This window comes from Homo sapiens, chromosome 13 (genome assembly GCF_000001405.40).
Source record: "Homo sapiens chromosome 13, GRCh38.p14 Primary Assembly".
Taxonomy (NCBI): Eukaryota; Metazoa; Chordata; class Mammalia; order Primates; family Hominidae; genus Homo; species Homo sapiens.
The window spans coordinates 98,753,394-98,771,060 of NC_000013.11; the positions used below are offsets into that span (position 1 = coordinate 98,753,394).

At 45.0% G+C, this 17,667-nt stretch overlaps 1 long non-coding RNA gene across 1 annotated transcript; it reads right to left on the reverse strand.

The window, feature by feature from the left end:
* Positions 1,729-4,804, reverse strand: LOC105370330 (uncharacterized). Its single transcript, XR_931672.2, has 3 exons — positions 4,673-4,804; positions 2,329-2,639; positions 1,729-2,190 (listed from the first exon to the last, which is right to left on the reverse strand). It is a non-coding gene; the product is annotated as an uncharacterized LOC105370330 (long non-coding RNA).
* Between the last annotated feature and the right edge of the window lie 12,863 nt (positions 4,805-17,667).

Below are 17,667 nucleotides of genomic sequence, written 5' to 3' on the forward strand. Positions count from 1 at the left end.
GCTCAAGGTAATTTATAGATTCAATGCTATGCCCATCAAGCTACCAATGCCTTTCTTCGCAGAATTGGAAAAAACTACTTTAAAGTTCATACGGAACCAAAAAAGAGCCCCCATAGCCAAGACAATCCTAAGCAAAAAGAACAAAGCTGGAGGCATCATGCTACCTGACTTCAAACTATACTACAAGGCTACAGTAAGCAAAACAGCATGGCACTGGTACCAAAACAGATATATAGACCAATGGAACAGAACAGAGGCCTCAGAAATAACACCACACATCTACAACTATCTGATCTTTGACAAACCTGACAAAAACAAGCCATGGGAAATGGATTCCCTATTTAATAAATGGTGCTGGGAAAACTGGCTAGCCATATGTAGAAAGCTGAAACTGAATCCCTTCCTTACACCTTATACAAAAATTAATTCAAGATGGATTAAAGACTTAAATGTAAGACCTAAAATCATAAAAACCCTAGAAGAAAACCTAGGCAATACCATTCAGGACATAGGCATGGGCAAGGACTTCATGTCTAAAACACCAAGAGCAATGGCAACAAAAGCCAAAATAGACAAATGGGACCTAATTAAACTAAAAAGCTTCTGCACAGCAAAAGAAACTACCATCAGAGTGAACAGGCAACCTACAGAATGGGAGAAAATGTTTGCAATCTACCCATCTGACAAAGGACTAATATCTAGAATCTACAAAGAACTTAAACAAATTTACAAGAAAAAAATCAAACAACCCCATCAAAAAGTGGGCAAAGGATATGAACAGACCCTTCTCAAAAGAAGACATTTATGCAGCCAACAGACACACGAAAAAATGCTCATCATCACTGGTCATCAGAGAAATGCAAATCAAAACCACAATCAGATACCATCTCATGCCAGTTAGAATGGCGATCATTAAAAAGTCAGGAAACAACAAATGCTGGAGAGGATATGGAGGAATAGGAACACTTTTACACTGTTGGTGGGAGTGGAAATTAGTTCAACCATTGTGGAAGACAGTGTGGCAATTCCTCAAGGATCTAGAACTAGAAATACCATTTGACTCAGCGATCCCATTACTGGGTATACACCCAAAGGATTATAAATCATGCTACTATAAAGACACGTGCACACATATGTTTACTGAGGCACTATTCACAATAGCAATGTCTTGGAAACCAGCTCAAATGTCCATCAGTGATAGATCGGATTAAGAAATTGTGGCACATATACACCATGGAATACTATGCAGCCATAAAAAAGGATGAGTTCACGTGCTTTGCAGGGACATGGATGAAGCTAGAAACCATCATTCTCAGCAAACTATCACAGGGACAGAAAACCAAATACTGCATGTTCTCACTCATGGGTAGGAGTTGAACAATAAGAACACATGGACACAGGGCGAGCAACATAACACACCAGGGCCTGTCAGGGGGTGGGGGGCTGGGGGAGGGATAGCATTGGGAGAAATACCTAATATAAATGATGAGTTGATGGGTGCAGCAGGCCAACATGGCATGTGTATACCTATGTAGCAAACCTGCTCGTTCTGCACATGTACCCTAGAACTTAAAGTATAATTTACAAAAAAGAATCACAAAACAAAAATAATAACACAGTGATTGTCTCCAGATTATTGTTCTGTTTTCTTGCCTGATCTCAGGAGGTTTTGCAAACACAGAAAGGAACATTAAAAAGGGGAATGAAGGTGAGTTTCCACAGCCTTTTTGTTTTAATCATGCTGAAATACAATGTAAAACTATCTGAAGTGCACAGTTCAGTGGCATGAAGTACATTCTCATTGTTGTCCCACCATTCCCACCATCCAGCTCCAGAACTTCTTCATCTTCCCAAATGGAAACACTGGACCCATTAAGCAATACTCCCCATCCACCCTTGCCCCCAGGCCCTGACACCCACCGTTCTTCTTTTTGTCTCCATAAATCTGACAACTCTGTCGTCCAGGGAAGAAATCTCCAGTGTTTGTCCTTTTGTGTCTGGCTTCTTTCACTTTGGGTAATGCCCTCCAGGCTCATCCATGGTATGAAGTACATCAGCCTTCCTTCCTTCTGAAGTTGAGGAATATTCTGTTGTGTGTCTACAACACACTTGGTTTATCCACTCACCTGACTCTATTATCTCTTGAGTCTTAGCATTCTCCCAGCCAGCCTTTCTGGAAGACTGTGGTGCCTAGGGAGAAACAGAGACTGCTATTCCATGGAGGTGACTGAGCCTGCCCTTCCCCGGCTTTCTTCACTGCCGCTGAAGAGTAAGAAACTCTTCAATTAGTTGCAGCATTGATACACACAAGGTAGCGGTCAATGTTACCTCCAGAAATGGGGGCTGCAAGTCACAGGACCTCATTAGGTAGAAAAATGCAGCCTCGGCTGAAGGAAAGGAAAACTTTCTCTGGAAGGTTTGGAAGCACACTCACAGTTGCTACCCTGCGAGATATCCCGGGCGTAGAAAGGTGGAGCTTGTGATGGTTTGTTTAGGTCAAAGTTTTCTCTGCAGGGTGGTATTTCTGTGGCTGAGCTCATGAACCCTGGAATCCGGACTTCTGTAAACACACTCTTGGTCTAGGCCAGCGGTTCTTAAACTGTGATCCCTGGACCAGCAGCATCAGCATCACCTAGGAACTTGAGAGAAATGCAGATTCTCAGGCCCCGCCCCAGAGCTACTGAATCAGAACGTCTGCAGTGGGTGCAGCAACTTCTCAGTAGTTGCGAGACAAATGCTGTTTCTTCCACAGGCTTATTTAATCCTTCATTCAGGCATTATTTATTTATCACCTCCCAGTGCCAACTACCATGCTAGTGACGGCATTGGGCAGAGTGGGTGGCCAGCGCAGAGACAGGCCTGCGCCCACAGAGCTCACATTCTTATCCGTTACAGCACGGCCAGAAGAGGCAAGGTACTCAAGATGGAGAAGCCTAAATGAAGAACAAAAACCAAGGGGGTCAAGGAGACAGGCTCTGCAGATCCTGAATAGCTCAGCCAATCCCTGGAGACCTGTGTCTTGCTGTGCTGCTCCCTGGCAGGCTGTGTAGGGGGTAATAGTGTAAACCAAAAGTAAATTTCTAAGGCCCCCCGACCATCTGAATGGACTTCCTCCTCTGCCCGGGCACTCTTAAAATTTAACCTGAGAGACTGCTCCAGGCCATGATGGGAAGTGGGGATTGGACGTGCCTCCTTGTACCTCTTGGGCATGGCACTAACATCAACGCAGACCTTAAGTCTAATAAAAAACATTTACAATATATTCTCTCTGAAGCCTGCTACCTGGAGGCTTCACCTGCATGATAAAACTTTGGTCTCCATCACCTCTTATTGCAACCCGGACATTTTCTGTCCATTGATCTCAGCTCTTTAGATAAATTCAGCCAATTGTCAACCAGAAAATTTTAAATCTACCTATAATCCAAAAGCACACCTCCCCCCATCCCCTACTGCTTCAAGTTTGTCCTGCCTTTCTGGACTGAACCAATGTACCTCTTAAATGTATTTGATTGATGTCTCATGTCTCTAAAATGTGTAACACCAAGCTACACCGGGATTACCTGGGACACATGTTCTCAGGATCTCCCAAGGGCTGTGTCAGGGGCCTTGGTCACTCACATTTGGCTCATAATAAATCTCTTCAAATATTTTACGGAGTTTGACTCTTTTCGTCAGCAGTAGACTCGGTTTTTATACCCTCCATATGGGCAACACAGTCTATGTATTCTATTCGTTTCCTGTGGCTGCCGTAACAAACTGCCACAGACTTGGAGGCTTATGAAAACACAAGTGTGTTCTTTCACAGTTCTGGAGGTCAGAAATCCAAAATCAAGGTATCAGCAGCATGCTCCCTCCAGAGGCTCTGGGGGGGACCCTTTCTTGTCTCTTCCAGCTTCTGGTGGCTCCATGTGACCTGGGGTTCGTGGCAGCATCACTTCCATCTCAGCCCCTGTCTCTACATGGCTTCTGCCCTGTGTCCTGTCTCCTTCTCCTCCCTTGTAAGGGAACTTGTCATTGGAGCTGGGGCCCACCCTAGTCCAGGATGAGTTCATCTCCATATCCTTCACTTGCTTCCATATGCAAAGACCCTTTTTCCAAAAGAGGCCCGGGTTCCAGGCAGGCACCATGAGCCCACTATACTCCCCAAAGGGACCCAAGTCTGGAATTGGAGTGTACAGAATTGGCAGGCTGGTCCTGGAGACACAGAAGTGTTGCTTGGCTTCCGAGAATTTTCCTTAGGCAAATGTTGTAACAATGAGATCAGCACTCAGTGGTAGCAGTCAGGGTTGTTCAAAACTAGGCCTGTCCTTGTTTTCTTACTGACACATTTAAATGATACAAAGGTATACTAGTAATCTATTCTAGGAAGAACATGGCCTTGAAAAGGTGGCTTGCAAACTTTTTGGAGTAACAGAGCGTCATTTCCTCCAGTTCTGTTCCTCAGATTGCTTGGCTGTAAAGACCTTTTCATTCCATCTCAGAGAGAAATTGAGTAGATGTCAAATATACAGCAATTAGAGTTGCTATGGAGATGCTGATGTTTAAGGAAGGGACTTGAGGAATAAACAATAAGAGTGAATCCCATAGCCATTATTTGAGAAGAGAGAGAGTCTGGGAAATGGAATGAGATGGTGGGGAGGAGGTAGGAGGGGAATAAACACGTGAAGTTTACCTGGAAAGTAGGAGAAGGAGGAAGACCAGTAAGCAACTCAAATTCATTCAAAGGCACTTGGGAACCAAGAGCTGGTGGACAAAATTCACATGTTGTGGCACATGAACCCCCAAGGCCTCAGAATATTAAGGGACTAGCCCCAGGAACATGGGATTGGGGGGCTTCCAAGCCGTGATGTCCTATTTACAGCATCTAGAAGACAAAGTGATCCATAGTAAATAAGTACATTACCATGAGCACCAAACTAATCTAAATTAAAACAGACTTTCCTTGCAAATCTAATTCTCAATCTTGATTGCCTGTAGTGTCAGTAGTAATGATCAATATTGATTACACACTTGCTGTATATAGATCCTGTGATCAATCTCATTTAATTCCTTCCTCACTATAATGCTATGGGTATTATTATCGGGGAGCATTTTTTTCTTTTTATTTATTTTTTTATTATGAAAAGTTTCAAACATACATGAAAAGGAAGAAGAGAATATGGCCGGGCGTGGTGGCTCATGCCTGTAATCTTAGCATTGGGAAGCCAAGGAAGGAGGATCATTTGAGCCCAGAAGTTTGAGACCAGCTGGGCAACTTAGGAGACCTTGTCTCTACATAAAGTACACACAAAAAGTTACTGGGCATGGTGGAGGTCAAGGCTGCCGTGAGCCGTGACTGTGCCATTGCACTCCAGCCTGGGTGACAGAGTGAGACCTCATCTCTAAAAGAAAAAATACAAAAAGAAATACAGACACAAATGTCCTATTTATTCACTTCAGGTTTAATTATACAATACCAGAACATATCTGACAACCTGCTTTAGTCAAGTCCTATACATTTAAAATACTATAGGTGATGGAGTTGGCAGTTATTTTGAATAAATATACATCTTGACACCTTATTACTCATGCACAATTACTCTATGTTTATCTTCTAGAATTACAAGACATGATCTCTCCAAATGCCACAGCTGACAAAGATTTTAGAAAATTCAGGTATTTCTATAACACACTGCTTAATTTGCCTTTCAAATTTTCTTTTTTTCTTTCTTTTTTTTTTTTTTTTTTTTTTTTTTTTTTTTGAGACAGAGTCTCACTCTGTTGCCCAAGCTGGAGTGCAGTGACACAATCTCAGCTCACTGCAACACCTCAGCTCACCGCAACCTCCGCCTTCTGGGTTCAAGTGATTCTCCAGCCTCAGTCTCCCAGGTAGCTGGGATTACAGATGTGCACCACCACACCTGGCTAATTTTTGCATTCTTAGTAGAGATGGGGTTTCACCATGTTGGCCAGGCTGGTCTCAAACTCCTGACCTTAGGCGATCTGCCTGCCTCGGCCTCCCAAAGTGCTGCAATTACAGGCATGAGCCACTAGACCTGGCCATCTTTCAAATATTCTACCACTCATATGTATATTAAATAACTGGCAAAAATCATGAGTTTTTTTTTGTTTTTTTTTTTTTGAGAAAAGGTGTTCGTTTTCTACTGGTACTGGAATAAATTATCACAAACTTAGTGGCTAAGACAACACAACTTGCTGACAGTTCTGGAAGGCAGAAGTCCAGAAAGGGTCTTACGGGGCTAAACTCATGGTGTTGGCAATCTGCGTCCTTTCTGGAGGCCCTGGGTAGAACTATTGCCTGGTCTTCTCCAGCTTCTAGAGGCCGCCGGCATGCCTGATTGTGTAGCCTTCTCCTCCATCTTCAAAGCCAGCAGCATAGAATTTTCCAACATCTTCCTTGCTCTCTGCTTCTTTCGCCATCGCATCTTCCTCTCTGATCCTGACTTTCCTACCTCCCTGTCAATGAGGCAGAAATTTAAAGAAAAATAAATACTGCATTTATTCACTCCAAGGAAAGTAAGGGTTAAGTGAAAAACACAAGTTTTCCTCTACTGCAGGCAAGGCTATAGACAGGTCGTGGTGACCCGGCCTGCAGAAATGAGCTCCACAAACCCCCAAAGCAAGGTTAAGAGAAGAACAACAACGCCGGGTGCAGTGGCTCATGCCTATAATCCCAGCACTTTGGGAGGCCGACGTGGGCGGATCACGAGGTCAGGAGATCGAGACCATCCTGGCTAACACGGTGAAACCCCACCTCTACTAAAAATACAAAAAAATTAGCTGGGCGTGGTGGCGGGCACCTGTAGTCCCAGCTACTCAGGAGGCTGAGGCAGGAGAATGGCGTGAACCCAGGAGGCAGAGCTTGCAGTGAGCCGAGATTGCACCACTGCACTCCAGCCTGGGTGACAGGGTGAGACTCCAACTCAAAAAAAAAAAAAAAAAGAACAACAACAAATTCCTTTACTTTCTCTCCTGTACTGAACTATTAGTTATGACTATGTTTGCCAATGCTTGTATTTAGTAAGATTTGCAAAGTTCCTGTTTGTTTGTTTGGTTGGTTTTTTTGACACAGCTGCAAGGCCACTAGGTATGTAAGGCCATAAGTTATGCCAAGTTAGCAGTTATGCTATAGATTATGTGACCTGTCAATGTAAAATGTACTGTCTTTGTTTTGCTCTTGTATGCTAGCCTATTCAAGCTAAACTCTGTCTTTGTTCAATGCTCAGCTTTTTAGATGTGAATCCACTGAGCCAGTGTGTACCTTAAAATAAACATCCTCCTGTTTTCCCATATTGGTCTCTCTAGTCCTCAGTTTATCACAACATTTTGGTGAGCCAGCCAGGAGTGGAGATGGCAGGTTTGCTGTCTCCTTTGCCAGTGGGGCTGAAGCCCTGGGTCAAGGGAAACTTGTGACCCCAGGCACTGCCAGGAGAACTTCAGCCTGGAGGGGAAATCAGCTCTTCTGTGACCAGGCATCCCCACCCAGCAGTGCAATGGAACCTGAGAGGGGCTACCAGATGATTACTAGGAACAGTGTGCTACTGGACCGCGGTAAGGTTTTGGGGCCCAAGGCAGGACCCTTCCCATAAGGACAGAAGGGGAGCCTGATCACCTCCCATGGTGTAACTAGTAGTCTGACCCAGAGAGGTTGGGGGCAGCAAGAGTGGCTCGCCAATTCGGATGAAACTCACACCCCAACCAACATAGGATGCAAGAGTGGCTCGCCAAGTCAGTTAGGAAAAGAAAACTGGAGGTGGCGAGAGTGGCTCACCACCACAGTTAGGGACACAGGAACTGGGAGTGGGGAGGTGTGTGTGTGTGTGAAAGAGATTGTTCCGGGAGGAACCAATGTGGGGAGTGACGTGGGGAGTCGTAGATCTCTTAGCATGGACAGTGTGCTCCGAGCAAAGTGTGGGGCCGACCTGGACTAGTGGCAAACCGCATACAGCTAATAGGAGCTGCCCCACAGCTCAGAATTGTGGTGGGAATAAAGACCTCTCCAAAGCTAAGCAGCGTCTGAAAACTCCCATAATAGGAAATGGTCTGGTCAGTCCATAACAAAAGGAAGAGTGAGTGAGCTGTGCCATAAGAGGAGGAAAACGGGAGGACAGTCATCAAAACCTACCCCGTTAGAGTGCATGTTACAGAACTTTAAGAAAGGTTATGCAGGGGATTATAGAGTTAAGCTAACTGCCCAGAGGTTGAGAACTCTCTGTGAATTAGAATGGCCTTCTTTGGTGTTGGATGGTCAACCGAAGGAATTATAGACAGGGAAATAATTGGCCATGTATTTAAGGTGGTGACAGGGGTCAGAGGACAGCCTGGGCATCCAGATCAATTTCGTTATATTGACTCATGGTTAATATAGCACAGACAAGACCGGCATGGATCCAGCCCTGTTTAGCAGCTTATTGCAAAACACTTGTGGCCCGAACTGAGCCAAAAATGAAAGTAAGAGCAGCTTCTCTGGCAGACACAGAGTTAAAGGGAAAGTCCCAGAGGGAGCAAGAAAGGCCAGTCTTATAGGAGCCACGAGAGGGAGAAGAGATTCCTCCTCCATATGTCCCAGCCTACCCCCCTTTACCAAGGCCAACAGCCCCCAAGGAACTAAATTCAGGAGCTAGCACGCCCCAAGTCTCAACCCAAAGGTAAGGATCGGAGCCTCAAGAGGCCAGGGAAGGAAATTAAGATAGTCAAGGAGGCCGTCTCAGATCTGGCTGTGCTCGAGCTATGCAAATGCCTCTCAGGGAGGCGCGAGGACTCATTTATTATGATGACCAAGGCCAAGTCCAGGGGGCGGGCAACCGACTTTCATCTATCAGCCCTTTACAACCACTGATCTCTTAAACTGGAAACACCATACTCCCTCCTATATGGAGAAGCCTCAAGCTCTTATAGATTTGATGCACTCCATCTTTCTGACACACAATCCAACCTGGCCAGACTGCAGGCAGCTTCTTCTCACATTGTTTAACACTGAGGAGCGTCAGAGAGTAACACAGGCAGCTCTCCACTGGCTAGAAGCCCGCGCACCGGCAGACGCAGTGAATGCTCAGGCATATGCCCAGACCAAGATCCCAACTAGGACCTGGAAGATGCAACCCAGCTTCAGCGTTTGCAGAGGTACCGAGAGGCACTTCTGCAAGGGCTAAGTGATGGTAGAGAAAAGGCAATCAATATAAGAAAGATCTCAGAGGTGCTTCAGGGAAGTGATGAGAGCCCTAGCCAGTTTTATGAAAGACTCTGTGAGGCATACCAGCTTTTCACCCGTTTGACCCTGAGGCTGCTGAAAATCAGCGTATGGTAAATACATCATTTGTAGAACAGGCCTAGGGTGATACTAAGCAAAAGCTTCAGAAACTTGAAGGTTTCACAGGCATGAACACCACTCAGCTTATAGAAGTAGCCACTAAGGTGTATGTTAACCGTGACCAGGAGGCAAAGAAGGAAGCAGAATGGAGGCTTAAAAAGAAGGCTGATCTGTTAGCGGTAGCCCTCATACAAAGAGACACTAGCAATGTGAGAGGACATAGACACGGACATGGATGTGGAAGAGGTCAAGTTAGACAGGGATTCGAGAGCTGACCAAGATTAGAGAAGGATCAATGTGCACAATGTAAAAAGAAGAGACACTGGAAAGATGAATGTCCAGAAGGCAATGAGGGAAATGGCCAAGGCCGCAAAACAAAGAGGTCAACAACCAGGGGCTGCTGCGCCCTAGGAGAACCAGATACTGATCTAATCGGGCTGGCAAGGGCTGAAGGATATGAAGACTAGGACAGACTGAGCTCCTTCTCACTGGGCCTCCAGGAACCTATGGTCACATTAGAAGTTGGAGGCCAATTGATGGACTTTATGGTAGATACTGGGGCTGAACACTCAGTAGTAACTCGACTCATAGGGCCTCTATCCAAGAACTATACGACTATTGTAGGGGCTACTGGAGTCTCAGAAAAGAGGCCATTCTTCCAGTCAAGGAGGTGTGTTATAGGAGGATGAAAAGTTCAGCATGAGTTCCTGTACCTCCCAAATCGTCCAATTCCCTTGTTAGAGAGAGACCTACTTCAAAAACTGCAAGCACAGATTACTTTTGGCCTGCAGGGAGATATGACTTTAAAGCTAACTCACCTGAAGGCCATGCTGTTAATCCTTACCATCCCACAGGCTGAGGAGTGGAGACTTTATAGAAAGAAACTACAGGCACCAGTGCAGCCTCGTATGCAGGATGAAGAGAAATGATTATTTCAGTTAGTTAGAGAAATTCCTAGAGTATGGGCTGAAGACAATCCACCCGGGCTAGCTGTCAATCATGCACCAGTTGTAGTAGAATTAAAACCAGGAGCAACTCCTATTCAGGTTCGTCAGTACTCAGTTCCCCAAAAGGCTGTACGAGGCATCTGTAAACACTTAGAGAGGCTCTATAAACATAGGATTTTAGTCCAATGCCAGTCACCCTGGAATACTCCACTTTTGCCAATACGAAAGCCACTGCCAGGACCAGAGTCTGATGAGTATAGACCAGTGCAGGACTTGCGTGCCGTGAACAGGGCCATGGTAACCATCCATCCAGTGGTACCCAACCCATATACTTTAATAGGACTCATTCCAGCAAGTGCTACCTGGTTGACAGTCTTAGACTTAAAGGACACTTTCTTTTGTATCTGCTTGGCACCAGTTAGTCAGCCTATCTTTGCATTTCAATAGGACAAAGAAGCTAACACAGCTCACCTGGACTAGGGTCCCAAAAAGGTTTAAAAACTCTCCCACAATCTTTAAGGAAGCATTGGCCTCAGACCTCAAGGCCTATACCCCACCAAATGATAACTAACGGTGCCTTATTGTGGTACATGGATGACCTTCTTTTGGTGGCCCCAACCTGAGAGGACTGTTACCAAGGAACACGAGACCTCCTCCATCTCCTATGGAAAGCAGGTTACAAAGTATTGTAGGGAAAAAAAAGAGATCAGAATGTTACGGTGTCTATGTAGAAAGGGAAGACACAAGAGACTCCATTTTGAAAAAGAGCTGTACTTTAAACTATTGCTTTGCTGAGATGTTGTTAATTTGTAGCTTTGCCCCAGCCACTTTGACCCAACCTGGAGCTCACAAAAACATGTGTTGTATGAAATCAAGGTTTAAGGGATCTAGGGCTGTTCAGGATGTGCCTCGTTAACAAAATGTTTACAGGCAGTATACTTGGTAAAGGTCATCGCCATTCTCCAGCCTCAATAAACCAGGGGCACAATGCACTGCGGAAAGCCACAGGGACCTCTGCCCTTGAAAGCGGGGTATTGTCCAAGGTTTCTCCCCATGTGATAGTCTGAAATATGGCCTCGTGGTAAGAGAAAGACCTGAGTGTCCCCCAGTCCGACACCCGTAAAGGGTCTGTGCTGAGGTGGATTAGTAATAGAGGAAAGCCTCTTGCAGTTGAGATAGAGGAAGGCCACTGTCTCCTGCCTGCCCCTGGGAACTGAATGTCTCGGTATAAAACCCGATTGTACCTTTGTTCAATTCTGAGATAGGAGAAAAACCGCCCTATGGTGGGAGGCGAGACATGTTTGCAGTAATGCTGCTTTGTTATTCTTTACTCCACTGAGATGTTTGGGTGGAGAGAAACATAAATCTGGCTTCCGTGCATGTCCAGTCATAGTACCTTCCCTTGAACTTCATTATGACATAGATTCTTTTGCTCACATGTTTTTTGCTGACCTTCTCCTTATTATCACCCTGCTCTCCTACTACATTCCTTTTTGCTGAAATAATGAATATAATAATCAATAAAAACTGAGGGAACTCAGAGGCCGGTGCCGGTGCAGGTCCTTGGTGTGCTGAGTGCCGGTCCCCTGGGCCCACTGTTGTTTCTCTATACTTTGTCTCTGTGTCTTATTTCTTTTCTCAGTCTCTCATCCCACCCGACTAGAAATACCCACAGGTGTGGAGGGGCAGGCCACCCCTTCAAGTGTCTAAAAAGAAAGCCCAAATTTGCCATGAAGAGGTTACATATCTAGGTTTCATAGTGAGCCACGAGGAACGCCGGCTTGGCGATGAGCGAAAGCAAGCCATTTGTGCACTTCCAACCCCAACCACCCGACATCAAATAAGAGAATTTTTAGGGGCAGCAGGATTCTGCCACATATGGATTCCAAATTTTTCACTGATGCCTAAGCCGTTATATGAAGCCACAAAAGGAGGAGAAAAAGAGCCCCTCCTTTGGAAAACTAATCAGGAAATAGCATTCAAATAGATCAAGGAAGCTTTAACTCAGGCCCCAGCCTTAGGACTACCAGATATAACTAAGCCTTTCTTTCTATAAGTTCATGAACGAAAAGGAATGGCTTTGGAGGTTCTGACTCAAGTTATAAGATTATGGCATTGCCCAGTGGCATATTTATCTAAACAACTAGACTCCGTGGCACTAGGATGGCCTCCTTGCCTTAAGGCGTTAGCCGCTACCATCTTGTTAACACAAGAAGCTAACAGATTTACTCTGGGACAGCAGCTAACCATCTGGGAGCCACACTCAGTTATAACCTTGACAGATCAAAGAGGGCATCATTGGTTGTCAAACCCAAAAATGACTCAGTACCAAGGGTTTCTGTGTGACAACACTTACATTATCTTAGTGAACACCTTCAACCCGGCTACTCTGCTCCCTGTCGAACCGGGAGCTCCCCTCCATGACTGTCGAAACAGTAGATGAGGTATTCTCCAGTTGGAAAGATCTTACAGACGGACCCCTCAAAGACCCAGCTGTCGAGTACTTCACAGATGGAAGCAGTTTTGTGCTAGAAGAGGTTCGAACATGCCAGGTACACAGTAGTAACATTAGACTCAGTAGTAGAGGCTCAGCCTCTGCCTACTAGAACACCTGCTCAAAAGGCAGAATTAATAGCCCTGACAAGAGCACCGTTGCTAGCAAAAGACAAGAAGGTTAATATTTACACTGATTCTAAATATGCTTTTACTACATTGCACATACATGGAGCTATAAACAAAGAGAGAGGACTTTTAACAGCTGGAGGCAAAGAAATAAAGTACAAAGAAGAAATTCTACAGCTCTTACAGGCTGCAGAGGGTCCAGAAAAAGTAGCTGTAATGCACTACAGAAGGCACCAAAAGGCAAGGATGCCAGAAGCCAAAGGAAACAGAAAGGCGGACAGAGAGGCAAAACGGGCAGCAATGATTATGCTGCATTTTAAAGAGAAAGCCGAGGAAGTCTTAGCTATGCCTCTCCTCCCAGAACCTCCTCTCCAAGAGATCCCAAGTTATACTCCAAATGAAAGAGCCTGGTTTGCCCTGCGAGCTGGAAAATATATTAAAGGAAAGTGGTAGAAATTCTCTGATAGGAGTTTAGCTATTCCGGAGATGTTAGCTCCTAAGTTTGTGAAGCAAATTCATCAAGGAACTCATGTAGGAAAAACGGCACTAGAAACGCTACTAAAATGCCATTTCTATGTGCTGTGGCTCTCTGCCATCACTCGAGCCGTTTGTGAACAATGCTTAACCTATGCTCAGAACAACCCGCGACAGGGGTCCACTCGGCCCCCAAGAATTCAGGAAGTAGGAGCCATGCCTTGTGAAAACTTGCTTATAGACTTTACTGAACTGCCCCGTGCCAGGGGCTATCGGTATAGGCTAGTGCTTATCTGCACCTTTTCAGGATGGGTTGAGGCTTTCCCCACCAGGACAGAAAAGCACGAGAAATGACTAAAGTATTGTTAAAAGACATTATCCCCAGGTTTGGACTGCTTTTAACTTTAGGATCCAACAGTGGGCCGGCATTTGTAGCTGAAATAGTGCAAGATTTAACAAGACTGTTAAAAATAAAATGGAAGTTACACACAGCTTATCGGCCGCAAAATTCAGGAAAGGTGGAACACATGAACCAGACACTCAAGCAGCTACTGAAGAAGTGTTGCCAGGAAACTCACCTGAGATGGGATCAGGTCTTGCCTATGGTCCTCCTCCGAGTCAGGTGCACCCCCGCCAAACAAACTAGGTATTTGCCCTACGAGATTTTGTTCAGTCAGCCACCCCCAATCATAAGTCAAATTGAAAGTGATCACTTTTAATCACTAGAGGAATTGACTTTAAGAAAGCGAACGCAGGCTTTAGGAATAGCCATGCAAAATGTCCATAGTTGGGTACATGAAAGAATGCCTACAAGTCTGACAGACCCAGTACACACTTTCCTAAACCTGGAGACTTTGTCTGGGTTAAGAAGTGGAATCCAACTTCTCTAGGACCCATATAGGATGGGCCCTATACTGCAATCTTGTCCACTCCCACTGCTGTTAAAGTCGCAGGTGTTGTGCCTTGGATCCACCACAGTCGGCTGAAACCGGCAGCTCAGGACAAGTAGACCAGCCAGCAGGACCCAGATCATCCAGCCTGGCTGATCCTGAGACGAGACCAAGCTGCTGCTGAAGACAACAGCCCTGCTCTGGTCACTCTGGAAGCTGACCAGTCTACACATGGCTGCAGCTTGAGGAGACAACAAGCCCTGCTCTAGTCCCACAGCAGAAGCTGACTAGTCTACTCACGGCCGAAGCTTGAGGGCTCATCAAGCAAGTAAATGTAGTTAGAAATCTTAAGACTAGTAGATTTCCTTGTAATATTGTTTTTCTATTGTTCTGTCGCTGTACTCAACCTCTTCCCCCGGGTAAGGACTTCTTCTGCCCTTGCTAGGTATGGATAGCTGTACATTGCTTTGCTGTTGTTACCCCCTTCAACCTTGCTAAAAAGAAGTACCCATAGAAGGGTGTCCCCACTGTACACATACTACATGGTCAAGGAACAGTATAACTAGAACTCTATTGTACCAGACCTATTATGAGTGTACTGGAACCCACCTAGGAACTTGTACTTACAATCAGACCATCTATTCAGTCTGTGACCCAGAGGATGGCCAGCCTTATATATGGAAATGAAAACACAAAAATGGGTACACGAATGTTCATTGCAGGATTATTTATAATAGACAAACAATGAACACCCCAAATGTCTATCAGCTGATAAATGGATAAAGAAAATGTGGTATATTCATAAAATGGAATATGATTTAGCATAAAAGGAACAAAAATACTGATACATACTACAACACGGATGAACCTCAAAACATTCTGCTGAGTGTATGAAGTCAGACACAAAAGGCTGCACATTGTATGGGCCCATTTATCTCAATGTCCAGGATAGGCAAATCCATAGAGACAGAAAGGAGATTAATGACTGTCAGGGGCTACCGGATGGGGAAGGGGGAATAACTCTTATTAGGTACAGTTTTCTTTCGAGAGCTGAAAATATTTTGCAATTAGGTAGTGGTGAGAGTTGCGCAACTTTGCAGCTATACTAAAGATGACTGAAGTGTGTACTATAAAAGTTGAATTTTCAACTTTTTCATATAAAATCTACGATTTAGAAAGGTTGCACTGGAGGTTCTCAGCAAATCATAAGCAGAGCATGAGGGATTTTCACCCAAGGGAGCACATCACACAACCATCACCTCAATAAAAACTAGAACATTCCCAGAGCCCCAGAGGCACCCCTGGTACCCCCTCCCAGTCACTACTCTCACCCAAAGGGTAACAAAAGATGAGTTTGGGTGGTTTCTGAACTTCGTGAAATCACATGGAACATACTGTCTTTACGCCTGGCTTCTTTCATCCAACATGGTGCTATGAGATTCGTGCATATGGTTGTGTGTGCGTAGAGCATGCTCATCCCATTGTGGGACAGAATTCCATTTTGAGTTCCATTCTGTTCCATGCCACACTTTACTTGCTTATTCTACTACAGATGGACTTTTTGGTTTGTTTCTAGCTTTTGGCCATTAGCGTCACAAACATTTTTGTGCATGTCTTTTGACATACATATGTACAATATTCCTCTCGCATGTATTCTGCAGATTGCTGGGTTGTAAGATATGTGGACAATCAGGTTTAGTGTACAATGCCAAGTAGCTTTCCTAAGTGTCTATACCAGTTTATACTCCCAACTTCAAAATATCAGAGTTCCAGGGGAATGCTTTAAAGCCAAAGTGTAAAAAATATGTGGTCCTCATTATGTCAAGAAAGGCAGGACTGTGGCCATATGTTTTATAAATGAAAATAAATGAAGGAAGAGAGAAGACATAATCACCTGGAGAAATGCAGACGGTGTATTAGTCCGTTTGCAACACTGCTGTAAAGAAATACCCAAGACTGGGTAATTTATAAAGGAAAGAGGTTCAATTGACTTACAGTTCCACATGGCTGGGGAGCCTCAGGAAACTTACAATCATGGCTGAAGGCGAAGGGGGAGCAAGTACCTTCTTCACATGGTAGCAAGAGAGAGAGAGAGAGCAGGGGAAACTGCCACTTATAAAACCATCAGATCTTGTGAGAATTCATATGACAAGAACAGCATGGGAGAAACCATCCCCATGATCCAATCACCTCCCACCAGCTCCCTCCCTCGAGATGTGGGGATTACAGTTCGAGATGAGATTTGGGTGGGGACAAAGAGTCAAACCACAGCAGACAGAGAGCGCCAGCTGCAGGGGCCGCATGGCCCACACCTGCATCCTTGCGGCCTCTGCAATGTATGGTCTCATTGTGAAGGCAGACTTCCAGCTGCTTCTCCTGCCATGAAATTTTCTTGTGTTAACTGTGTCGCCAGATAGAGTTCATCTTCTGTGGAATACTCTTGCTGTGTTCAATTAGTCCCCAGGTGTCCAGCTCTTATTTTGGTTTCAGCCCCGTGATAGGAACTGTGAGTGATCCAGGAGGCCGTCAGATGATGTCTGCATCCAGGGCTCCAGTGGCAAGCACTGGACAGCAGAGCTGGCAGAGATTAAACAAGTATCTGTGCACTGATATCTACCGATCTCACATGTCCCACGTTTCTCAGACTATAAGATGGAGAACAGGCAATAAAATGTCCCACCAAACTCAGGATGAAAACAGTAGGCTAGATTCATAGGCAGAGGAACAACCTTTATCAATGTGCTCTGATCCTGTCTTTGAAAATTTCCTGGGAAGGAGATGTCTTCCTTCTTTCTTCTTTTGTTTCTCCCCCAGCCCAGTGCAAAGCTGAAAAAGATGTCTTTCTAATGTCTCTGCACCAACATTGGGTCATGGTTGGTTGAGAGTCCACCTGTGCCTGGTGCCACGACAAGTGGTTTCATGGACACTGTCACACAATCTGCCTGAGGCAGGAGTTCTCATCTCCATCCTATAGGTGAGGGGACAGAGGACAACTATTAGGACAACCCATTGAGATTCCTCAAACGAGGACACTTGAACACACACTTCCAGCTCTATTAAGGGGAAATCTACACACAATAAAATTCATCCATTATTCATGTATAGTATGATGAGTTTTAGGGAATTTGAGCCTAGGCCTTCAGGATAACCATCCCAAAACCATGTGCACTACTAAACATCGATTTCAGCCATTTCTAGGCAGAGAGGACCGTGGCAGTTGCATCTTGGATAAGTAACTGACCTTGGGATAGTCGGGACTCCAAATGAAATACTGGAAATGTGAAGTTTTCTCGAGGCCATCAGACATCTCAAAATGTAGGCACCGTTAATTACGATAATTGAACTAGGACCTTCTCACTTTTAAGACAGAATCATGTGGTTCAGGAACCCAGTGAATCCCCTGCATTCCACAGCCTCCAATTCC